This window comes from Homo sapiens, chromosome 16 (genome assembly GCF_000001405.40).
Source record: "Homo sapiens chromosome 16, GRCh38.p14 Primary Assembly".
NCBI classification, from domain to species: Eukaryota; Metazoa; Chordata; class Mammalia; order Primates; family Hominidae; genus Homo; species Homo sapiens.
Genome location: NC_000016.10, coordinates 49765539 through 49790852, shown reverse-complemented (window position 1 = coordinate 49790852; position 25314 = coordinate 49765539). Strand labels below are relative to the sequence as shown.

The 25314-nt window shown below is 51.6% G+C and overlaps 1 protein-coding gene across 11 annotated transcripts in view, besides 3 other annotated features; it reads left to right on the top strand.

The window, feature by feature from the left end:
* Positions 1 to 25314, top strand: part of ZNF423 (zinc finger protein 423) — a 371756-nt gene that overhangs the window by 68427 nt on the left and 278015 nt on the right. For all 11 annotated transcript variants that reach the window (XM_047433809.1, NM_001379286.1, XM_047433808.1 and 8 more), the window contains one exon: positions 1307 to 1366. Coding sequence is in view for 9 of the 11 variants with exons in the window: in NM_001379286.1 (NP_001366215.1) it covers positions 1307 to 1366 (60 nt within the window). In the remaining 2 variants the exon portion in view is untranslated. The remainder of the gene's footprint in view (positions 1 to 1306; positions 1367 to 25314) is intronic.
* Positions 14306 to 14817: an enhancer, noted in NCBI's record as "H3K27ac-H3K4me1 hESC enhancer chr16:49809947-49810458 (GRCh37/hg19 assembly coordinates)". NCBI's record gives its function as "activates a minimal SCP1, AML or CMV promoter by ChIP-STARR-seq in primed H9 embryonic stem cells {active_cell/tissue: H9 hESC(primed)}" and the evidence as "EXISTENCE:reporter gene assay evidence [ECO:0000049][PMID:30033119]".
* Positions 16356 to 16867: an enhancer, noted in NCBI's record as "H3K27ac-H3K4me1 hESC enhancer chr16:49807897-49808408 (GRCh37/hg19 assembly coordinates)". NCBI's record gives its function as "activates a minimal SCP1, AML or CMV promoter by ChIP-STARR-seq in naive H9 embryonic stem cells {active_cell/tissue: H9 hESC(naive)}" and the evidence as "EXISTENCE:reporter gene assay evidence [ECO:0000049][PMID:30033119]".
* Positions 21445 to 22321: an enhancer, noted in NCBI's record as "H3K4me1 hESC enhancer chr16:49802443-49803319 (GRCh37/hg19 assembly coordinates)". NCBI's record gives its function as "activates a minimal SCP1, AML or CMV promoter by ChIP-STARR-seq in primed H9 embryonic stem cells {active_cell/tissue: H9 hESC(primed)}" and the evidence as "EXISTENCE:reporter gene assay evidence [ECO:0000049][PMID:30033119]".

Genomic DNA, 25314 nt, shown 5'->3' with positions numbered 1-25314 from the left:
ACGTTATCCCATTTAATCCTCCCAGCAGCCCTATGGCTTAGGTACCGTTATTTTCTCCATTTTTGAAGTGGGAAAACAGAAACCCAGAGGTTAGATCATTTGCTCAGGTCATATACAGCTAGTAAGAGGCAGAGCTGAGATTTGAAGGTGGGCTGTGCCTTGCGCTAGAACTCAGGTTCTGACCACAAGCCAGCCTGCTTGCTCCACTCGCAAGGTGGCTGCCTGCGTGTTGTACATGCCTTCCATGTGGTGGGTTGGGGTCACTGCCCTCCAGCCTGAGTTGCTAGGGTTCTGGATAGCATCCTTTGTACCCCGGTCAACAGTGGTTTTCAAAGCAACCTTGGAGACAGACAACCCTGGGTTTGAGCCCAAACTCTTCGTGGCTCTCACTACCTGTAAGACCTCAGACACCCCTCTGAGAGTCCGTTGAGGAAGACGAAACCCAGTGATGGCTGCAAAGCCCCAGCACAGTGCCTGGCTCAGTGTGCACCCACGTGGTGCCAGCAAGAACATCGACAGTGCAGAGAGAACTGGGTGGTTCATGGTGGCTTCAGCCTGCACATATGCAGAGCTAGAAAGGCCATTAAATCTGAAAAATACTGTGTATGCACATTTTTGGCTTAAACAAAGTTCCATTTACAAAGTCCATAACCCAGCTTTAATATTATTACATGCCCCAGACTGGGATTAATTCCAGGACAAGAGTGTTGTTATGCTGTGTAGTGTTTCTCCCATATTCTCCTAGTGCATGGCCTCTACCAGCCTGGGCTTATGTCCTGGGGTGTGGGATGGTGGGGACACCCTATCTCTGCCCAGCTTGGTTCTGTGGGGTCCTGGGTGGAATGGGGGGGAGGCTGGTTGCCTTCTGATGTTGTCAGCTCATGAGTTGCAGTGCTCAGACGTGCTGTCATTGGGAGAGTTGACCTCAGCGTGTCCTGAGGTCTATCTGTGGGTCAGGTCTCAGCAGGGTCATGAGCACTCACCACTTTGCTGATCTCTGAGAGCAACCTTATTGGTTTCTTGAGGCAGTGCTGAGATTGATTAGTGATGTCTGCCAGGGGCACAGGGCTGGGGAAACCATAACTGATCCAGCACTTAACTTGCTTGCTATTCCTGTTTTATTCCGATCATTTTACATCTCTGTGAAACCAATAAAGGCCTCTTTGTAGGCTTTGCCCCCTCTCCCCTGGTGATGGGTATTATAATAAGGACCCCCACAAATGTTCCTTCTTCCTCGCCCTGTGCCTTACCTGATCTATTTGTACAGCCTTCAAACTCACAGGCCCATCTCTGTTCTCTCTTTCAGTTGAAGAGGGGGAGGCCTCAGACTTCTCGCTGGCCTGGGATTCCTCCGTGACAGCAGCAGGTAAATGCCCGGGGGCTGGTGGAAGAGTTGCAGGGGGTCCTGGGGGCTGGCCCAGGAACTCAGAAAGCCACCCAGCTGGTTATGGAAATGATATTCTTCGTGTCACATTCCTGCCTCCAATCCAGACTACCCCATGCAACACGATTTTTATATCAGTTCCATATGGTCAATAAAATCTATTACATACGGAGACTAATATTCCCTTATTCTCCCGAGGGCCACATTTCCTTCTTGTGGCTACAGTTCAGATGGGCAGTGATTTTCCCACTGCACAAGCCTTGAAGCTCCCTGCTATGGGCGTCACTGCACATTCATTCCAATCTAATTGCATAAAAGCCACTTTAATAGGACTTTTAAACTCCAGTCTACATCAGAATTCCTCTTTCCCTCCCTGGAAGGGGCTGCTCTGCATTCTCAGGGCTGGCAGAGCTGAGCTCATGCCTCCAGGGAGAGGTAATAGAGGGAGCTCAGACTCGTGGGGTGTCGGGGGTGACGTGACAGTCAGGATCCCCGCATAAGCTCTTTCCTGTACCTCTGTTTCTTAGCTGTAAAAAGAGGTGGATGAGTAAAGTTTTTCTGACTGTGAAGTTTTGTAGCTTGGAGCCTTCCCATGAGTACTGAGATTAGAACTGGCTTTGAGAGGTCTTTGGGAGCTCCTGAATGAGGGCCCAGGCTCTCCTGTTTGCTCCTCATGCAGCCAGGGCCTCTCTTGGCAGTGATGCCCCTGGCTCCCTGTCCGGCAGGCGCCGGGATCCCCTTCCTTGTCCTCCTCCCCTGCCTTGGGCCAGGCCTGCCCTGGGATCCTGACCAGCTTTTTCTGGATTTGTGGGGGAGCTGGAGCTGCTTCAGTCTTGCAGAATCCTAAGGCCTGAGGAGGCCTATGAGGGAACATTCAGTCCAAGCTTCTCCTCTTTTAGTTGTGGAAACTGAAGCAGGAAGAGAGATTTGCTCTGGGTCAGTATTTCAGAAACGCGGTTAGGCATCAGGTATATAAACATTTAATGTTTTCATGGTTATGTGTCTAATGTGTGGTATTATAGACATTTGTGACTTACGATGATGCTAAATTCATTTAAGTGAAAAAACTGAGTTGACAAGAAAGTGTTAATAGTACAGAATACGGAGACTCAGCGGGAAGCTTGAAGATGGTTCAATGAAATTTGGGAAAGGAGACTAAGCCCTTGAACCCAAGCCTGTGGCCCCTGGTTCCGTGTCCTTTCCAGCAGGAGCTAATGCTGCCTGCAGAGTCTCCAGGGTCCTGGTTGACCCAGGCTTGGGCACTGTTGTGGCTGCAGGTGCCCTGGCCCTTGGTGACAGGGGCTTCCTCCATAGAGAGGGGCCTTGTCTGAAGCCAACGTGGTAAGTGGTGCTCAAATTCTAGGGAGGAGGGTCCAGGACTAGGACAGGCCTTGGGGTCAGCACTGGGCAGATAGGAGGCTGGGGGAAGGGGCTGTGTAGCCCCCCGTGTGTCTCCTTCTGTGCGGGGAGTGCGTTCCCCATGGTTGGCGGAAACAGCAAGGCCATAAGGCGCCGTGTCTCAGACATGTAGTCCTCCTGAGAGACGAGGGGTGCAGGGGCTCAGGCTTGCTGCCCGCTCTAGAGAGGATCCCACTGTAGGAACCCCTGAACTAGGAAAGCACTCAGCCCAGTGTTGTCTACAGAAGGTCCTCCTTCCCAGCTGCTTTCCCGGTGGGGCTGGAGGTGATGCAGACAGATGGGAACAGCAGTGGCGTGCAAGGAGGGTGCTGGCAGTGATTGCTATAGACAGACAGCCCTGGGCAGGGGGGGTGTCAAGCACCCCAGCTGCATCCCCTAGGCAGTGAGGTGTCTCCCAGCTTGCAGAAGGCAAGGGTGGTGTTGGTGCTAGGGAACTGGGTTCTGTAGTTCTGTAATTCCATAGTTGGGCAGCCAGTCTTAGGGCCTCTCTGGGGTGCCTGGGAGTAGTGGGAGCTGTGGGATTTGCCAGTTTCCAGGCAAGAGCTGAGCATGCCTCGTGCATGTAGGAGGATGCACACTCCTTGTGACTCCATGGCCGTGGCTCGCCACGGTGCCAGTTTCGGATTCTCTGCTCAGCTATGGGGAGAGGGAGGGCAGAGCATCCCTGGCAGTGGATAATCCACAGCCAGACAGCCAGGCCAGGAATTGTTTTGTTTTCTTTGGCTCATTTTTGCTGGTGTTTTTTCTTTTTTTTTCTTTTTTTTAATAGTTTGTGCTGTGCATGTGTAAATTTTCCTTCCCAGTTCTATTGGAATTGGGCTATTAAAGTCAGCTTTTATTCCCTGAGCACTGGGCGTGTGAGACGGCTCCAAGCCTGGGTGGCAGGCGGAAGTCAGTGTGGGAGGTAGCCCTGGACGTGGGCGATGTCACATTTATTGAGCACTTACTTAGTGCATGCCAGGCACTGAGTGAAGACTCTACCTGCAGCATCTCGCTGAGCCATCGTGACAGCTCTGTGAGGTGGGTGCCACTTCCAGCAGCAGCTCCATAATTTCTCTGTGGGCTTGGTTTAGGGACAGCCATCTGGTTGACACCAGGGCCAAAGGCCTGGTGAAAGCTGCTTTTGTCTAATACTTTTCATTAAACTGAGAAAATGTCACTTGGCCACATCAGAGAATGGCAGCAGATGCCAAAGAAGATTATGGGGGAGCAAAACCTCCCAGGCCATCCTTGGCACTGCTACTGAGAATCCCCATCCTCATTTGACAGATGAGGGAAAGAGCTTGGAGCTGTACAGTAGTGAATCCACGGTCCCCAGTCGGCAAGCTGTGGATCAGGGACTCGAACCCAAGTCCTCCAGAAGCCAGAGCCTGTGGTTTCACCTCTGCACCACTTGGCATCGGGAGGTGGAGAGCTGAGCAGGACCTGAAGGCAGGGCATTATGGGGACTTCTGGAAGGTCCCTGGCAAGACAGGCCTGGTGGCTGCAGGGCATAGGTGGTCCTGCTCACAGGCCCCCAATGTCCCTGGGCTGAGGGCAGTTTACCAGGAGGAAGGGAGAGCTGTAAGGCATGGAGCAGCCCCTCTTCTTGGGGGGCCCTCTTGGCCCAGAGCGCAAGCTTTTCATGCGCCTTCCTCTCCCCTGCTTTTCCCAGCCTTGGGTGTGTGATGGAGAACTGCAATAAAGAAGCAGAATGCGCAGTTTGTGTCTTCACTCACCCCTGGCCTCCCCTGGCCACCCTGCCAGTGGGGACCCTGTGGCCCTCCGCCCCCAGAAACAACCAGGCTTGCTCCTTCCGTGCCCTCGAGCGGGGGCCCTGACAGTGATGGAGAGCCTGGCCTTGCCTGGCAGGGAAAGGAGCGAAATGATCAGCTCATGGCAATATCCTGCAGTCCGGAGGCGGGGGCGTGGGGAGCGGAGTGCGCAGGCCCACTCATGCCACTTGCTGGTGAATGGGGCTGCTAATGGTGAGCCCAGGGGAAGGAGCACTTCATCTGGAGTCAAGATGTGGGGGTGCCTTGGAGGTGTGGAGCTGGAGGAGTTCTTAACCTGTTTTGAGTCACAGGTGCCTTTGGGCATCCAGTGGAACTGTGTGGATTCTCTTTCGGACACACACAGGGTTTCATGTGTGACTTCAGGGGAGTTCGTGGGTCATTCTTCTTCTCCTGCCAACCCCAACTTCTCCTGCCTTGCCAGGCCATAGGTGTGAACTCCTTACAAATGTGAAAGTCCTTTGCAAATGGGAAAACCTTGCCAGGGTCACAAACTCAAAGGCCCACCCAAGGCAGGCTAGTGGCCCAGGTGGGCTGATACGTGAGGGGGCCGTGGTGGATGGTGACACAGACCTTGCAAAGGGGATGGCTGGCCCTCAGCTCCTGCTGGCTGGGCCATGAATTGCCAGAATTCTGGCTGGGTCCAGAGTTGCCAGATCTTCAGAGGTTTTAAAAGAAAAGCCAGAAAGCTGGATTTTCATAAGAAATCTTTAGATTCTTAAAAAAATAAAAACAAACAAACCCAGCTTATATCTTTTTAAAAACAGCTTTATTGAGATATAATTCACATATCATACAATTCACCCATTTAAAGTGAATTTTGGTATATTTAGAGATATGTGTGACCATTACTACAGTCAACTTAGAACATTTTCATGTCCTTAAAAGGAAACTCTGGACCAGGCGCGGTAGCTCATGCCTGTAATCCCAGCACTTTGTGAGGTCAAGGCAGGAGGATTGCTTGAGCCCAGGAGTTTGAGACCAGCCTGGGTAATATAGTGAGAGCCTGTCTCTACAAAGAATAAAAACAAAATAGCCCTGGGCATGGTGGCATGCACCTGTAATCCCAGCTACTTGGGAGGCTGAGGCAAGAGGATCACTTGAGCCCAAGAGTTTGAGGTTACGGTGAGTTATGATCATGACACTGCACTCCAGCCTGGGTGACAGAGTGATAACTTGCCTGCCTGCCTCTGAAATAACTAACTAAATAAAAGAAAAAGAAAAAAATAATAAAAAAGAAACACTGTATCCTTAGCTATCACCCCTGCCCTCCTACCCCTCCCAGCCCCAGGCAACCATTGATCCACTTTCTTTTTTTTTTTTTTTTTGAGACAGAGTCTCATTCTGTCACCTAGGCTGGAGTGGGGTGGCATGATCTCAGCTAACTGCAATCTCCACCGCCCGGGTTCAAGCGATTCTCCTGCCTCAGCCTTCCGAGTAGCTGGGATTACAGACGTGTGCCACCACACCTGACTAATTTTTGTATTTTTAGTAGAGACAGGGTTTCACCATGTTGGCCAGGCTGGTCTTGAACTCCTGACCTCAGGTGATCCACCCACCTTAGCCTCCCAAAGTACTGGGATTACAGGCATGAGCCACCACACCTGGCTGATCCACTTTCTGTCTCTGTAGACTTGCCTATTCTGGACATCCTGTCAGTGGAGTCATATAATACATAATCTCCATTGACTAGCTTCTTTCACTTAGCCTAATATTTTCAAGGTTCATCCATGTTATTATAGGAGGTGTCTGTCCTTCACCCCTTTTTAGGGCTGTATAATATTCTATTGTATGGGAGGACCACATTTTGTTTGGGTATTGTTGATTGACATTTTGGTTGTTTTCATCTCTGGCTATTGTGAATAGAGCTGCTGTGAATATCCATGTAGAAGTTTTGTTTTGTTTTTAGAGGTGGAGTCTAGCTATGCTGCCCAGGCTGGATTTGAACTCCTACCTCAAGGGATCCTCCTGCCTCAGCCTCCCCTTGTAGTGGGGACTACAGGTGTGTGTCACCGCACCTGGCAATGTACAAGTTTTTGCTTGAACGCTTGTTTTTATTTCTTTTGGGTGTGTTTGTAGGCGTGGAATTGCTGGGTTATAGGGCAACTTTATGTTTAACCTTTGGAGGAGCCACCAGACCTTCCCAGGCGTTTTACATTCCCACTGCTCATGAGGATTCCACTTTTTCCAGGTCCTTGTCAACACTTGTTATTTTCCTTTTTGTAAATTCTAAACTTCCTAGTAGGCATGAAGGTATCTCATTCTGGACAACTCATGGATTTCTTTTTCTTTTCTTTTTTTTTTTTTTTGAGTTGGAGTCTTGCTCTGTTGCCAGGCTGGAGTGTAGTGGCACCATCTTGGCTCACTGCAACCTCCACCTCCCAGGTTCAAACGATTCTCCTGCCTCAGCCTCCCGAGTAGCTGGGACTACAGGCACGTGCCATCACGCCCAGCTAATTTTTATATTTTTAGTAGAGACGGGGTTTCACCATGTTGGCCAGGATGATCTCGATCTCCTGACCTTGTGATCTGCAAGCGTCAGCCTTCCAAAGGCTCCCAGTGCCTTTGACCTCCCTCCTACCAACGTCTCCAAATCCCCTTTATTCTGCGCATCACAGCCTGGCACTAGCCCTAACCCTAACCCCCCCTCTCTCCCGCCAATCCCAGCCTTGTACGAAACCTACCCCTACACCTAACCCCCCCTCTTTCCCACCCATTTCAGCCTGCTACTAAACCTAACGCTAGCTCTAACCCCCCTCTTTCCCGCCCATCCCAGCCTGCTACTAACCCTAACCCTACTCTAACCCTAACCCTAACCCCCCTCTTTCCCGCCCATCCCAGCCTGCTACTAACCCTAACCCTACTCTAACCCTAACCCTAACGCCCCTCTTTCCCGCCCATCCCAGCCTGCTACTAACCCTAACCCTAACTGTAATGCTAACCCTAATCCCCCTCTTTCCTGCCCATCCCAGCCTGGCACTAATCCTAACTCTAACCCTAACCCTAATCACCCCCTCTCCCACCCATCCCAGCCTGGTACTAACCCTAACCCTACCCCTAACCCCTGTCTCTCCCGCCCATCCCAGCCTGGCAGGGAGACACATCTTACCTTCAGCATTTCCTCCCTCTTCCCACAAGCCCTTTGGAATGAGGTCTCTAAGTGGCAGACACCAGAAACATCATGCGTGATCCTGAGGTCTATGATGTGGGGTTTCAGGGAACCAACACGACCATGTGGAAATTTACCTCCTCTTTCCCTGTGACTGAGTTTGATCTGGGAGCTGAAGCTGCTCATCTTTTTTTTTTTTTTTTTTTTAATTGAGACAGGGCCTTGCTATGTTGCCCAGGTTGGTCTCGAACTCCTGGGCTCAAACAATCCTCCTGTCTCAGCCTCCCAAGCAGCTGGAATTACAGGCATGTACCACCATGCTTAGCGTGAAGTGGGTAAGGGGGTCATTTTTATGTAATTGTCTAGTCAGAGTCTCATTGGAATCTCCCACCTCTCCAGGCTGGGTTCTGGGACTGGTTGGGCAGAGTCTGCTCCATGGCTTCCATCCAGCATAGCAGCTCTGGAACAGCAGCAGGGAGAGGCAGTAGGAGAAGGGTCTGTGGATGGGCCAGAGATAGGACACAGTTTGCTGACACATACTTCTTGTGAATGCCTGGGCAGGTTAGGTAAGTTTATTTCTGGCATGGTGACAGACACACTTGTGGTTTGAGAGGAACACTCAGTATTATCAGTTGACCGTGATGGACCCGCAGCCTGAGACCTTATTGGTGTCGCACTGTGATCAGACTTTTAGGCTTTCCTGCCATGGGACAGGTCTTCTTGCTCTGGTTAATAGGAACCGTCACTCCCATTTACGAGGTGCTTCTAGGAGCCAGGGCTCCTTTCCAGTGCTTTTCACATACATGTGAGAAAACCGAGAAACAGAGATGCTATAACTTGGTTCTAGGTCACTCAGCCAAGAAGTGGCAGAGTGAGGGTTTGAACCCAGGCCGCTCATGCATGAATTTAGTGCCTCAACTGTAGATGGCAGACATGCCGGTGAGAAAGTGGGTCCCATGCCTTGTTTTAGAGGAGACTCTCTGGAATCAGCTCTGTGCCCCGGTCACTCCTGGGTCAGGTAGAAGAGTCTGACTGCAGCCAGCTCTCAGGATTTGCTGCCTGGAAGGAGAGGAGGTACATGTTTTGAAGACCTTGCACACATCTCCCATGTTCAAAGCCAGGCCTGGAAAACACTGGGCCAGGCTCTCTGCAGGGACTCACACCACCTCCAGCCCCATCCCCAGCCCTCCTTCCACATCTGGGTGTTGGGCATGGGGCCAGTTTGCAGGGGAAGGTGGGGATAAGGCTGCAGTCTCTGGGACCTGCTCAGATGGGAGGTAGAGCTGGCAATGGGGTAGCTGGTGTCCTGGGACCTCCTTGGGAAGAATGCATTGAAGCCTCCCATTTTTCTTTTAGCCTGGTTCTGGGTAAAAGTTGGGGTGAGGAGAATGGTCAGGGTCCCTGCTCCTGACCAAGGCGACAGCCTCATCCCCTGCAGTCCTTTGCCCCGAGGTTTTGGCTGGGGAAATGGATAGAAATGTCCAGAAGCCCGGGCCTTTCACCATGGGGAGGCGAGGCCACTCCGTGCAGTCCCGCCTGCACTTCTGAACCACGCGGAGCTGCCTCCTGCCCTGCTTGTGTTTTGCTGGAGTGCATAGTTATTATTTCAACAGCTTCACAGAAACTCCACCCACACCCCTGCGCTTCTGCACTTGCGTTTGCATTTCTCCCAGTCCCCTTTCGAGCTCCATTCGTCTATAAGCTTCTAGATGAAGTCCACGCTGAACTCGCAGTGGGTTTCCCTGTAGTCCCTGTTGGACCTGAGCTTCCTGTGATCCTGGGACCCACGTACCTCTCACCTTAGTGTCTGTGCTGGAGCCCTTGAGTGGATGGGCATGAATGTTATTCTCCGCCTCTCCCCTGTTGGACGTTTGGACTGCTTTAGGTGATGGCTGTTGTAAATAATGCCATGATGAACATCTTCGTGTGGGTGGTCTTTTTTTTTCTCCTTTGGAGATTTTCTCAGGGGCTCCCAGCACCTTCTAACTTTTTCTTTCAATCCCCAAATCAAGGCTGGAGAGACTGTTCCCCTCTTCTCTGTCCATTGCTCCCCGCTGGGTCTCACTTTACACATTTCCCCAAGTGACCGTCCTGCATTGGGTCACCTGTGGGATGTCCCACCCACCCACGATACTTGCCTGGAGCTGCCTGGCTGTGGCCCGTGGTGCATGCTGCCTGGGCGCCCTTTGGCTTCCGGCTGGTGTGCTGGTGGCGTCCACCTTTTGTGCTTGAGCCCTCAACCCAATCATCTTCTTGATGAGGACCAAGGGACATTTTAAAGGAGCAAAAAAGTCTCACTAAATAGATGTAGAATTTCCCAGCATTTTAAAGACTTATGAAATGCATTTTTATATGGGGCCAGCTGGGGAGTTTCTCATTAGCTCGGCTGGGGAGCCTGTGGGGAGTTGAGCTAAGTGGAGCCAGGCAGGCTGGGTAGGAAGACGCGGTGGCCCTGAGCTCACCGGGGGAGCGTGGCAGGCATGCGCTGGCGGGTTGGCTCCATGGACCCCTGGCCAGGCAGCCCGGGCTGCGCCTTTGTTAGAGCTGCTCCCCCTCTAGCACAGGGGGCCTCAGAAATCGTCAGGTGGTGACTGGAGCTGAGAGGTGGCCACTCTGTTACCATGGTGAGCAGTCTATGGGGTAGGGCATTCTGTATCTTGTGTGCACACGGATGCATGCACTTGTGTGTGTGCTTGTGTGTAAGTATGCCCAGGTAGCTGCAGCCCTGACTCGGACCCCTGGCAGGGGGAGGCTCCAGCACCCCTGTGCTCCGCCTGCTGGTTTGTGCTGCATCCTGGGCTCCCTGGGGCTGCCTTGGACCAGTTCTCTGAGGAGGAGGTGGCATTTCCTGCCCACCCTTTTCCTCTGGCTCTGCACCAGCCTTGGGGCCCCCATTGGGCTCCACTGTACTTGGCTTCCTCGTCGACATGCCTGCTGTGCACATGTGTATGCAGAGCCTGTGCATACATGTACACATGTGTGCTCTGGACTCAAGTGTGCTGGTACCCAGGACATGTGGAAATGAACACGTGTGCAGTGCGTCTTCTGACTCCTGTTTTCCTCCTGTACCTCTACCCTGGCTGATGACTTCGCTTCCACGGAGCTAGGCTTGTCTTGCTGATTTCCACCCACTTGAGATGGACTTGGGGCTTCCCTGATGGCAGGGATGCTGTCATTTGTCTCGTGTCCCTGGCCTGGCATTGAGATTTTGCAGCGCAGTTGCTCAGTTGATTTGGGACCATCTGCCCCAGCAAGCCCATGGCCCTGCCCCTCCTCTCCTGGTGCTGTTGGGCTTTTCGGGGGACTTCAGTAATGAGGATTGTAAAGACAAGGAGGGGCCAGTCCTACTTTCTCCAAAGCTGGGGTGCTCCCTGAGGATGGAAAGGCCTCTCTTTGGTGTTGGCTGTTTCCTAGGTCCCCAAGGATCCCGCTGTCCTGCTGGTGGACACTGGAAATCAATAGTTCTTTGGCGACTTGAAGCCTGCCTGTAAACAGTCAGGCATGTCTGTGGGTTGGGGTGTGTGGGGTGGGGTGCCAATGGCATAACTCCTCATGCATTTGGGGGAGTTGCTGCCCATCCTGCTCCCTCCAGTGTTGCCCAGCCTTGTGCGTCCTGGGGTGGTTTGCACCAGTGCTCCTCAAACTTGAACATGTGTGCAAATTGTCAAGATGCAGATTCTGACTCAGCAGGTCTGGGTAGGGCCTGAGATTCTGCATTTCTAACAGGCTCCAGGGTGATGTTGATGCTGCTGGTCCATAGACTGTGTGTGTCCCCTTGGCATTTTTTGAAGCTCAGCCTAAATGACACCTCCTCCAGGAAGTTTCCCATGATAGCCCTGACATAATTTTGTGCCCCCTGAGCCAAAGAGCTCCTGATCCTGGCCCTCAGTGCTCCCGCTGCCCTCTGCTTGGTTCTAATGTTCCTTCTCTTATACCCAGCTCCCTGATGCTCTGCTCACTCCTAGGGGACAGTGACCAAGTCTGATTCTCTGTGTCTCCACAGCCCAGCCCTGGCTTGGCAGTTGGCAGGTGCCTGGCAAATGTCTGCCAAGATGCAGAATCTCACCTCTACTTCTTCGTCTGTATTTGTCCTGGGAAGTGCAGGGCCTGAGTTTTGTTCACTTTGTTTAGAGCAAAATCTGGGTTTGAGGTCTAGATACTTATTAGCTGTTCAATATGGAGTAAGTTACTAAACCTCCCTGTCATTTCATTTTCTCATCGGAAATGGGGAGAATAATAATTCTACTTCCTAAGGCCATTGTGAGGATGGCACGGGAAATCCGTATGGAGTGCTCAACCCCTAAGGTGCCACCTGGCACCCTGTACCTTTACTTTTGCTATTGACACCATGTGGAGGGAAGTGCCATAGGAGCTTAGCTCTGAGCTTTGCGTCTGTATGGGTGACAGAGAAGGCTCAGATGGGCCCCTCCTTCTCGTCACATCGTCACAGCTTCCTGCCTTTCTCCCCACATCGTGACTGGCAATCTCTGGGCATGGCCACAGTGCCTGGGGCAATCCGCTTCACCTTCCTGCAGATTTGGGGTGGAACTGAGTCTGTAGGGAACCATTCTTGTTCACCGTGGTTGGTGAGGCATGGCTTGTTTCCCAAGTGGGGAAGGCCAGGTGGGGTGGGGGTTGGTGGGAGGTGGGCTGGGTCTGCTCTGAAAGGTAGAGGCCTGAGGCTGACCTGAGATCAGGTTCCTTCCTTGGGTGGGGCTGGACACATGGACTGTGCGGCCATGGGCCAGTGCCCATTAGGAAATGGCCAAAATCAGCTTGACCACACCACCTGGCGTGTGTTGGCTTCCTGGGTGGACACTCTGCAGGGCCCAGCTCCTGGGTTGGATATGGTCAATGGTGCCCTGCTGTAGACTGCAGGCAGCCCACAGGGGTTAGGCTGCTGTCATGTCAGCTGACATTCCCTTAACATTCTTGAATGTGCAGGCAGGTGCACACACACGCACACACACACACACTCTCACACACATGAGATTATGCTGAACCTGGCTATCTGATGCCTCTCTGGTTCAAAAAATTATTATTTTACCTCCACTGATAATTTGTTCTCCTTTGTCATGGTTGATTGCTTTAACTGATGGCTGCTGGCCATACGTGATAGTTAGCACATCAGACTCATGCTTAGTCTGGCAAATATGATATATTTTACTTATGCTATTCTACTTATCAAGGCTAAATGCCTTGCAAACCTGGCAAGCTTGTGGAGGCAGGGACAGTGCCTGTTTGCTTCCTGTCGTATCCTCAGCAATTATCACTGTCTTAACAATAACAATTAAAAAATAATAACCATCTAGTGAGCATCCACTTGGTGCCAGACAGGGGGCTGTGACATGCATTATCTCATTTAAGCCTTGTTAACCACAGTATTAGCATTCCCGTCTCACAGATGAGCAACTGAGGCCAAAGAGCTAAAGAGACTAGTCCAGTCTGCACAGCTAGTTGGGGTTTTGTCTGAGTCTAGGGCACGCTTTCTGTAGTTGCTAATTCACAGTGCCTGGGACTCAGTGGAGACTTACTGCATCTTGGTGGAATGACGGGCACTAGAATGTGCTGTAATCCCTAATGTCATTGCAGCGACACACCACTAGTGAGAAGCCACCAGGGTCAGTGTGGGAATGAGTGATTGCTAATGGGCAAAAACCTGTGAGTGCTCTTTGGTGGTGATGTGTAAATTCACAAGTCATTGTGTGTGCATGCATGTGCACACACAACATACACATATTACATGCACACCAACACAAGGATGCATGCACACATTCATACATATATATGCTCATACTCTCACTCAGTGCAAATGTACTCCACACAATGCACATGGACATTCACACACATGTAGGTACACATTTGCACACAATGCACATGTACCACCCATGCACATGTAAACACACACGTATGTGCACATTGGCATATGCATACTCCACACAATACACACATTCACATATATGGGCCTTCACATACATGTTCCTCCATACTACACACATATGTACGCACAGCCAAGTGCATGCATATGCATAATGCACACCCACACAGATGCCTGCAGACACAGGTATGCACACACATGCATAACACAGATGCACACCCATACGTGCATACAGGAGTGTGTTCACACTGCCAACATACCCATAGTGCGCATGTGCACACACTTACAAATGCATGCACATACAGAGGCATACACACATATGCAGCATTCACTCATCCACACCCAGGCATGCAAATGAGCAGAAAAAGCCTGTTTCTGGGCTGTCTCCCTTGAAGGATCAGGAACAGTGCCCAGGCGGGGTGTTCAAGATGTCCAGATTGTCTCCTTGCTCTGTTTTCTTTCTTCCATTTCTTTGTCGTACCCTCAGGGCCCTAGACATTCTTTCCATCCAAAGATTTGCACCCCTGCACTTGGGCCCAGTGCTGGGCTGACCCTGGTGTGGACCTAGACCCCAGTCTTGGTGCATCTGTCTGTTCGCCTGCCTGGCCTGCTGTGGCCTGCATGGGCCGCCCCGCAACCCCCAACTTGCATGTGACTTCATTTTACACCCTGCACCTGCCTCTTTAAGAGACCAGGGGCCTGGCAGGCCTGTCCCCAGGGTCGGGGCTGGGGGAGGCTGGACAGCTGCAGGTTGGGGGGAAGCTTTGTGAGCTCCCAGTGGCCTCTTGGAGCCTGGGTAATGCTGGGGAAACTGAAACAAAGGCCGACAATGGCCTCCTTCCCTCCCCGGGTGGCCTCGGAGCAGGGCCTGCCTGGGCGGCCTCTGGGGGCCCCTGTTATTTCCTGTGCTGGCTGTGGGGCTCCTGGCCAGCTTGGAATGGGGCAGGAAGCTGGGCAGGGCATCGCCTCCCCACCCGCTGGGCTGGCCCTCGCAGGCCAGAGTAGCCGCTCCTGGGAGTGGGGGTCGGCTCAGCGTTCCTGTTCTGTGACCGCTGCTCCAGCTCCGCTTGGCCTGGTCTGCCCTACTCAGGTCTGGCCAGGCCTCCCAGGAGGGAAACTCAGCCTTCCGTCTCCGCTGCCCTCTCCCTGCTGCCGACTCCATGTGCTCCCACCATCTTCATTGAGTCCATCTATGCTGTCACCTGAGCTCCTGCATCTCCTCTCCCTAAATGGCCCAAGCCTCTGTGTTCAGAGCCCTTGCCCCACAGAGCCAAGGACAGGGTCAGGCAGGGAGCATTTCATGGCTTATTAATTAATTCATTTGGGATTATGCTAGAGGTTAGCATAGGTTTGGTTATCAGGGTTAGGGTTACACTGAAGGTTAAGTTTAGCGTTAGGTTTACCAAACCCTGCAGACCAAAAAGACACGAGCGTTAAGGGCATGGGTTTTCAGGCAGATAGGCCCTTATTTCAATCCTGATTCACCACCAGTTATTCATCATAGTATTGTCAGGCGTCTGTGTGCTTCTAGGCCACAAGGGCACAGTTGGGTCCCTGACTTCCAGGACTCACATTCTAGAGTGAGGAGGCAGCAGTGGGCAGGTGAACACACACAGCACAAATTAAGTGTATTCACTGTGAGAATGGGCTTGACTCAGTGATTGCACCTTCCCAGAGCTCAGTTTTGTGATCTGTAGAATGGGAATAACAAAGCCCCTACCTTGTGGCACCATTATAAGGACAAGTGAGAGGGTACATGACATGTGTCCAGCATGGTGCCTGGCACACAGCATGTCCCCAATAAGTGCTAACTGTGATGATTACTAATGAAAGGCTGTCGAGGTGGCCTGTGGGTCAGTGGGGAGCTCAAATAATAGTTGAAGAGACTAATTATGTCAAAACCTAAGGGAAGGGTCAGGATGCCTTTGAGCCTCCTGGCAGCCAAGGCCCAAAGAGAAATAGAATCAAAGCTGCTTCTGTATTATGTAAGAGCTTGGGACAGACCAGTGTTTTCCCCCTGGCTTGGAATGCTGAGGAATTTATTCTGTGGATCCTCATTAATCAATGGACAAACAGCAGGAACCATCTCAGTAACAATTTGGCACACGATGCAGAAACATCTTTCTTAGAGTTCCTTCTTCAATTGACCCTGGAAAAATGCTCCGTGCCTCAGTGCACCACACAACCCTGGAGTTCCATGCAGTACAGCCTGGAGGGAGCTGGGCGGAGGCAATGCTGCCTTTGCTGGGCTGCGTCTGGGGGCTGGTGGGGCAGCTGCTGGGGTAACTTTCCTAAGTGCCTGGTTAAGTGCAATTGAATGGGTTTCTTTAAGGCAGGATCTCCAAGGGCCCTCAACATGCCTGTGGATGCTTTGAGTCATAGAGAGGGTTCTTAAAACTCTTGGGCTCAGAATCTGTCCTTCATCCCTTTTTTTGACTACCACCTATCCCTAAGCCCGGAATCTTGGAACACAGTTTGGGAAGCTCTGTTTATGTGCTTCTCCTTTGAACTGAACACCATGGGAGGCACCTCACTCACGGTGTCCCCTCCTCCCCTTGCCCAGACTGTCATTTGGCTGTGGTTTATTCCGATAGGCCTGGGGGTCTTCATCTGGCAGAGCCCACCCACCTGTTGCTTACTTCTTACTGGATGATTGCATTTACTCATCTTATCTGAGTCCAATCCAGCCTCCAACAGGGGTGCAGTTAGGGAAACTGAGGCTCAGAATGCGTAGAGGGCTCAGGGCATGCTCACACACATGCATACACCTGCATGCACGCACGATCACCCACTTTTTGCTCTGCGTGTGTAGGAACGTTGTTCTGTGTCTGAGATCTAAAGTCTGGCTGGAGCCCCCTCTCCCTCTCCTGCCCACCTCCCCCTCCTGGTGGGCAGGACTGGGAGCCTGCCCCAGTTAGGCCTGCCAGTGGCCACTTACTCCGTGTCTGGCGGGTGCCCTGTGGAGTTTCCATGGTGAGCTGTCCTCTGGGGGCCCTGGGTGGGACTTTCCATCTGGGTGGAAACCTGACCCACTGGCCCAGGGCTGGAAGGGGAGGAAATGCCTTCTCCAAACGTGGAAAGAGGAAGCAAAGAGAGGTGGCCAGCCTGGGATTCCAGCCACAGTCCCTGACTTCTGCAAAGCCACAGGGCCTGAGGACCCCAAGGAGCCTGGGAAAGAGCTGCGTAGGACTCACCCATCAGGGACGGCCACAGCTCAGATAGGGCCATAGCTGCACAGTGTGGCTTCGCTTTGGGAGCTGACTGTTGTAGGCTCCTGTGGTTCTGCCCTTGAGCTCGTGCATGTCTGTGCTGGCATTCCTTGCATGCTCTTGCAGAGACTTGGGGCCAGCCAGTTGGTAAATGGCTGGGCCAGGATTTGGACTCAGCTCACTGTCCCCAAGGCCCATGTGGTTGTCACTCTGCCTCCTTGCCTCCCTCAAGCAGGCATTTCCATAGGCATTGCCTCACTGAGTCCTTGCGGGCGCACTTTGACCATTGGTATTATCATTATTCTTGTATTTCATAGGTGGAAATTGAGGCTCAGAGAGGCTAGGCATCTTGCCCAATGTCACACAGCAAGTTTGTGGCAGAGCTGCACTATAGCACAGATTCCACTCACCCTTTACTTTGCTGACAACAACATATGCCTATGTACAGGTCATTATTTATCATTTAACTTCCTTCAACATAGATAGGCACATTTGCCAAAAAATGAGGACAATAACAGTGTAAAGGGATTGGCAATTGCAGTCAACAGGAGCTGGCTTACTCAGGGAACCTGCGATGTGGTTAGGCACTGTGTCCCCACCCAAATCTCTTGAATTGTAATCCCCCAAATCCCCATGTGTCAGGTGGAACAGGTGGAGATAATTGAATCATGAGGGCAGTCTCCCCCGTGCTGTTCTCGTGACAGTGAGTGAGTTCTCACAAAATCTGATGGCTTTTTTTGTTTGCTTTTTGTTTTTTTTTTGTGAGATGGAGTCTTGCTCTGTCACCCAGGCTGGAGTGCAATGGTGGCATCTCGGCTCACTGCAATTTTCGCCTCCTGGGTTCAAGCGATTCTCCTGCCTCAGACTCCCGAGTAGCTGGGATTACAGGCACCCACCACCATGTCTGGCTAATTTTTGTACTTTTAATAGAGATGGGGTTTTGCCATGTTGGCCAGGCTGGTCTCGAACTCCTGACCTCAGGTGATCCACTCGCCTAGGCCTCCCAAAGTGCTGGGATTATAGGCATGAGCCACAGTGCCCAGCCAATCTGATGGTTTTATAAGGGGCTTCCCCCTTCGCTCAGCACTCACTCCATCCTGCCACCCTGTGAAGAAGGTGCCTGCTTCTCCTTTGCCTTCTGCTATGATTATACATTTTCTGAGGCCTCCCCAGCCATGTGGAACTGTGAGTCAATAAACCTCTTTCTTTATAAACTACCCAGTCTCAAATATTTCTTCATAGCAGTGTGAGAATGGACTAATACAACCTGTGATGTGGGTGAGAATCTGCTGTTCCCTCGGGTGTTGGTCTCTGTGGCCCCTTGTGGGGCAGGTAAATTTGACTCTGGGGTTTTAAGATGTATTTTCATCCCACATGCTTGATGTATGGACCAAACCATTCTCCATGGATGTATCTCAAGCCACAGCAGTTGTATCTTAGGGGAGAGGAAAGAGTTTTGGGGAATAACTTTGACTCTAAGACACATTTGCCTCATAGACTAACTTTAGAACCTGGCACTCCCTTGCCCCCGAAGCTGGGACAACAGGGGTGAGCCTGTGCCTGACCCACGGGTTCACCAAGGATGCTTGGACCAATGTGTCAGGGCAGGTGTGATGGCCAATTCTGTGTCAATATGACTGGGCTAAGGGCTGCCCAGACAGCTGGTGAAACATGATTTCAGAGTGTGACTGTGCAGGTATTTCGGGAAGAGATGAGCATTTTGATGGCTGGACTGAATAAAGCAGACGGCTCTCACCGGTGCAGGCTGGCATCATCCAGTCCACTGATGGTCCGGATAGAATGAAAAGGCAAAAGAAGGGTGAATTTGTTCTCTTTGTTTGAGCTGGGCCATCCGTCTTCTCCTGCCCTTGGACGTCGGCACTCCTGTTTCTTGCGCCTTCAGCCTGGGACTGGGACTGACAACATTAGCTCCCCTGGGTTTCAGGCCTTGGGATTTGGACATGAACTGCAGCATCGGCTTTCCTGGGCTTCCAGCTTGCAGATGACACAGGGTGGGATGTTTCCAGCTTCTATACCTGTGTGATCCAGGCCCTCATAACACATCTCTTTTGTATGATCCAGGCCCTCATAACACATCTGTGTGATCCAGGCCCTCATAACACTTCTCCATATATCCATATGTGGATCCTCTTGACTCTAGTTCTTGGGAGAACCCTGGCTAAGGCTCTAGTTCTTGGGAGAACCCTGGTGAGGGTATGTGGGAGCTGAATTTTCTCTGTGTGAGTCCATTTTCATACTGCTGTGAAGAAATACCCAAGACTGGGTAATTTATAAAGAAAAAGAGGTTTAATGGCCTTACAGTTCCACATGGCTGGGAGGCCTCATAATCATGGTGAAAGGCAAAGGAAGAGCAAAGGCACGTCTTACATGGTGTCAGGCAAGACAGAATGAGAGCCAAGCAAAGGGGGACACACCCCTTATAAAATCATCAGATCTTGTGAGATTTACTCACTACCATGAGAACAGTATGGGGGAAACTGCCCCCATGATTCAATTATCTCCAACAGGGTCCCTCCCACAACACATAGGAATTTTGGGAACTACAATTCAAGATGAGGCTGTACTTGGTGGCTCATGCCCGTAATCCCAGCATTTTGGGAGGCTGAGGCAGGAGGATCACTTGAGGTCAGGAGTTCAAGACCAGCCCGGCCACCATGGTGAAACCCTGTCTCTACAAAAAATACAAAAATTAGCCAGGTTTGGTGGTGCATGCCTGTAATCCCAGCTACTCTCAGGAGGCTGAGGCAGGAGAATTACTTGAACCTGAGAGGTGGAGGTTGCAGTGAGCTGAGATCACACCATTGCACTCCAGCCTGGGTGACAGAGTGAGAGAGTGAGACTCCTTCTCAAAAAAAAAAAAAAAAAAAAGAAAAAAAAAAAAGAAATTCAAGATGAGATTTGGGTGGGGACACAGGACACAGCCAAATGATACCAGTCTCCATCGGTGGTGTTATGCTTAGTCTTACTCCTGAACAACACCTCTCAGCCCACTTCCCGGGGCCTGACCTGGAGGTGCCTTGGGCCTTGGCAGAGGGGAAGATTGGCTTCTCTGCTCCTCCGTCCCTTGGCCCCGACTCCTCCAGCATCCAGCACCCCTCCAAGCTCTGGTGCGAGGGAGGGAAGGTGGGGGCTGGAAGCCATGGCCTCCTGCTGCCGTGGGGAGGCTCCTGTGGGGTGGCTGGCTGGATTCAGAGGCCACCAACAACTTTGGGAAGTCTTAGTGCCCTGGGCCAGGTGGAAGCAACAGAGGCTTCACTGGGGCAGTTGGCTGGGAGAGCCACGTTGGTGGGTGATGTAGTAGGGCCCGGAGATGATCTCTTGTAGGCCCGCACTTTGTCCTTCGTCTGCATCTTGGCCCCTATGCCTTGTGCCCCTCCGAGAGCACCCTCTCTCCCCTTTCCCACCTACTCCAAAGTGGCAGTCTTCCAAGGCCCAGCCGCTGTCCCTGCCTTCCACAAACCCTTTGCACGTGAGTCTTCTGGGGGGGCCTGTCCTTTCCATGAACCCCTATCCTGCCCTTCAGAGCCTATGACGACCACATGCTGGCTTGTTCCTTTTCCTCAGCCATTCATAGGCTTCGTCTCCTTCCCACCGTGGAGCAGGTTCTCTCCCTCCCCTACTCCCCCTAACCCCAGTAATCTAGCACCAGGCTCACACTATACATTTACTCATGGATGGACAGTTTCTCAGCACTTCTAGCACCAGGAAGTTCTACTTAATGTCTAACCACTTTTTCCATTGCTGCTGGCTGAGCCTCGGTGCTGTTGTTGCAAGACCTCTCTTTGAAGGGCTGTGATGGTTATGAGCCTGCACCACTGGCAGGATCCATGAGGGCCCATTCATTCATTCATTCATTCGTTCATTCTTTTATTCATTCTTTCAGTCACAGATATTATTGAGCACCTACCATGTGCTGGTGAACATCCAGGAACAGAACTGACAAAGTCTCTGCTGTGCTCAGAGCTCACAGTCTTGTGGGGAGATGGCACTAGAAAAGTAAAAAATGAATCAATGAATAAAAATGCACCACATGCTTTCACTAGGGGTGGCCAGCAGGGTGACCAGATAGATAGAGTGGTGGGAGGTGAGGAGGAGAGGGCCGGCTGTGTTGGGGTGGTCAGAGAGGCCTCTGTACCAAGGAGGGGGCGTTAGAGCCATGCACAGCAGCGGAAGCAGTGTCCCAGGCGTTCCCCACTGTGGGACAGAAGGGACTTCACTGTGCCTGGAGGAGAGCAAGTGCCAGGCAGAGGAGGGAGAGGTGGGCTTGGAGATGAGGGAGGGAGACGGGGGTGTGAAATGAGGTGGTGGGGGGAGCGTGAGGTCAGGGAGATGAGAGGGGGAGAGAGGGGAAAGACGGAGCAGAAAGGAAGGAGGTGAGGTTGGGAGATTGTCGAGGGGAGCAGGCAGAAGTGTCTCATTTCAGGCCTGGAGCCTTAGTGGGTGCCTTGGCTTTTCTTCTGAGTTGATGGGGAACCAGGGAGGGCTTTGCACAGGGCAGTGGCGTGATCAGGTTTATATCTGGAAGAGGTCCCTCTAGTTGTGTGTGGGGAAGAGATGGTCGGGGCTGACCAAGTACTCATCCAGGTGCAAGCTTATGGGGTTGGGAGCAAGGTCAGGAGGTAAGCAGAGGTCAGATTCTGAGTTTCTTTTTTCTTTTCTTGCCTTTTCTTTCTTTCTTTTTCTTTTCTTTTTTTCTTTTTTTTTTTGAGACAGAGTCTCATTCTGTTGCCCAGGCTGGAGTGCATTGGCGCGATCTCGGCTCACTGCAACCTCCACCTCCCGGGTTCAAGTGATTCTCCTGCCTCAGCCTCCCGAGTAGCTGGGATTACAGGTGCCCACCACCACGCCCGGCTAATTTTTTATTTTTAGTAGAGATGGGGTTTTGCCATGTGGGCCAGGCAGGTCTCGAACTCCTGACCTCAGGTGATCCACCCGCCTCGGCCTCCCAAAGTGCTGGGATTACAGGCATGTGCCCAAGTTTCTTTTTGGAGGTAGGTTGAAAAGAGTTTGTCTCTGGATTGGATGTTGGGCATGAGAAAAGGAGAGGAGCTGAGGAAGCCTGCAAGGTTTTTGGCCTGGGCAGCTGGTGGCTGGGGCTGTGCTCACTGAGATGCAGGGTGCTAGGAGAAGTTGTCAGGGCGTAGGGCAGCTCGGTGTGGATGGTGTGGCTCAAAAGTTCGGCTTGTCCATGATAAGCTTGAGATGCCCGTGAGATGTTGAGGGGGTACTTGAACGTGTGTTCTGGCAATCGGGGGAGGATGGGACCAAGATGTGTTTTGGGTGCCATGAGTGTGTGGCTGGGACAGATGCACCCACTGGGGGGTGAGCATAGACTGAATACAGAGGAGCTGAGGTCTAGGGCCACGTTGACATTGCAGGTTGGGACATCGGCATTGAAGGTTGGGACATCGACGTTGAAGGATGGGATGATGAGGAGAGACTGAGGAGATGGAGAAAGGTGTCAGGGAGGAAGGAGGAAAACTGGGAGCGGGCAGGTCCCCAGAACCCTATGAAGAAAATCTTCCAGGAAGGACAGGGTCACCAGGCAGGTCCACTGCTTTCCAAAGCAGGCGATGGCGTGGGAGTACATGTGCCGTGACCTTGATGACACCGGCTCTTCGTTTAGATGTGGCCAGGTTGCAGGAGACGTGTGGAAGGGAAGCCCAGCCTAGCGGCTCTCATGCTTTGCGGGAGCCGGATCTGCTAAAACAGCCTTTGCTTGAAACCATTCTGGGCCGAGAAGAGTTGGGGCTCACGGGTTAATGAAATGAACTCTCGTCTGCAGACTGGCCCATCCGGGGGTGTCCGCGCCGCGCCCCCGTTCCCGGCTCCCGCTCAGGGACGTACCCATGGCTGGAGCAGAGGTGGTGTCTGGGAGCTGCAGACTGTCCACGGCAGAGTCCAGCTGTGCGCGAGCCCTCAGCGCTGAAATTGCCAGCCTCGTGCAGCCCAGAGCCAGCCTGCGGAAGTGGGCCAGCCGCACCTCCGTACAGGATTAGAGGGATGTGTAATGGATTAAAGATCAAAAATGTTAATTAAGAAATGGTCTTTTCTAATAAGATGCCTTCAAGGGCACAGGCCTGAAAAGGAGGGGATTTCTCATTTTGGCAACACGGTTTCTGTTGTAATGAAATTGGTTCACAGACAGTGGGGAGGACCCGACGTAAGCCTGGTTTTAAAGACATCTCCATCCAAATTAATTAGCAATAAAATACAAAGGCCCAAGTGTCAGGCTGGCAGGCAGACAGTGCGTATTGGCCTGGCTGGAAGGATGCGTGGACTTCAGAGGATTCCTTCTGTGTCCTGGTGCCTGCTGGAATGTTGTCCTCGATGCTGTGTTTGAGGGCATGTTCTTGGGGTGCCTGGTGGGGTCTGACTCTCCCTGGGATTAAAGGATGAGGCCTAACTCAGTGGGAACTTGCTGTGTGACTTCTGACTGCGCATGCCCCTCTCTGATCATTCCACTAGTTTCCTTTTTTATCAGTTGTGGATGACAGTGAATGACATCTAATTAGATGTCAGTGACAATGAACAGCGCTCCATGGGCTGTTGGATCAAATTGATTCCTAGATCCCAGTGCTGTGGAATCTCAGAATGGTTCATATGAATCAGTGTGATGATGGCTAAGGGATAGTTTGGTCTTTTTGTACCTGATGCAGCCTCTTGGCTGGGAACAAAGATGGAGGTGCCTTGGCCCACTTCGAGTTCTGCTTTCCCCGGCCTTCCCTGGTCTCCAGGCTTTGAAGTCCCCCATGTTGTTTGAATGTCTCAGAAGACCATCACAGTCTAATGGTTAAGAATTGGGTTCTGGGGCCAGGCACGGTGGCCTGTAAGCCCCGCACTTTGGGAGGCCGATGCAGGAGGATAACTTGAGGGCAGCTGTTTGAGACCAGCCTGGGCAGCATAGCGAGACCCCATCTCTACAAAAAAAATAAAAAAATTATCTGTGCACGAGTGGCACACACCTGTGGTGTAGGAGGACTGCTTGAGCCCAGGAGTTCAAGACTGCAGTGAGTGAGCTGTGTTTGCACCACTGCACTACAGCTTGGGCAACAGAGTGAGACCCTGCCTCTAAAAAAAAAAAAGAAAGAAAGAAAAGAAAAAAAAAGAATTGGGTTCTGGGGTTCTGGAGTTTGCCAGGTCATAAGTTTGCATCCCAGGACCTCCTACTTGGGACTTTAACCTTAGTACTTGACTTGTGAGCGTCAGTTTCCTCATCTGTAAAATGGGATCAGAGGTCCTAGTTTATAGCACAGCCGGGAAGTGAGAAAGGAGATAGTGCTGTGATGAGCCTGGCCTCTGAGGGACCGAGGCTCGGTCTGCACTGCTGAAGCTGTTGCTTTTATTGCCGAGATGCAGAGAATCTGCCTGTTGGTTTCAGACTGGGCCTCAGTTAGAGGCTAGCAGCTTCCCCACGGCTCAGGCTCAGGCTCAGGCCTGTAGTGTTTTGAGTTTCCTGGGCCTCCCGGGATCTGAAACTTTGTTTTATAAGAAGCCAAAGGACTGGGAGTCCCCCAGAGCCTGGGACTTGCTCTGAAGGTCACAGGCTTGGAAAAAGCGTGGGTGAGGATGTCTGAAGGAGGGTCTCTCAGTGCTGTGGCATCAGGTCTCCCTCTAGCTGACGGAAGCACCTGCGTTTTCTTGCCTGCCACAAACCTTGTTTTCCTGGGAGTGATGTTGGGAGCCTGTGTGAGCAGGGAGAGGAGCCTTCCTGTCACTTCTTGGGCAGGAGATTTCCTCATCCGCTGTGCCTGGCTCCTCCTTTAGGCTCGCTGGAGCTGCAAACCTTCACTTAAAAAAACATGAAACAACCTTGTCTTATTTAATGATATTTCCCTTGAATTGCATTTGGTCCTATGTTAATATCCTGACTTCTGCTTTGAATTTTCTTGCATCTGCCTGCTATACATTTTCTCAGTATTCTACTGTTTTCCTCCATTAAAATTTTCTTTTTAGAAATTGTGGTAAAATACATAAGATAAAATTTACTATCATAACCATTTTAAGTGCACAGTTCAGCAGCATTAGGTACATTCACATTCTCGTGCAGCTGCCTCCACCATCCATCTCTAGAGTTCTTTTCATTTTCCCAGGTGAAACTCTATTCTCATTAAACACTCACTCCCCATTCCCCGTCGCCTAGGCCCTGACAGCCACTATTCTACTGTCTATCTGTATGAATTTGACTACTGCAGCCAGGCCCTCATGTGAGTGGAGACATACAGTATTTTTCTTTTTGTGCCTGGCTTGTTTCCCTTAGCATAATGTCCTCAAGGTTTATCCAGCTTGTAGCATATATTAGAATTTCCTCCCTTTTCTTTGACTTATTTTTTTATTTTTCAAGGTAGGGTCTCGTTCTGTTGTCCAGGCTGGAGTGCAGTGGCGCGATCATGGCAAACTGCAGCCTCGACTTCCTGGCCTCAAGTGATTCTCCTGCCTCAGCTTCCCAAGTAACTGGGACTCCAGGTGCATGCTACAATGTCCAGCTAATTAATATTTGTGTGTGTGTGTGTGTGGAGATG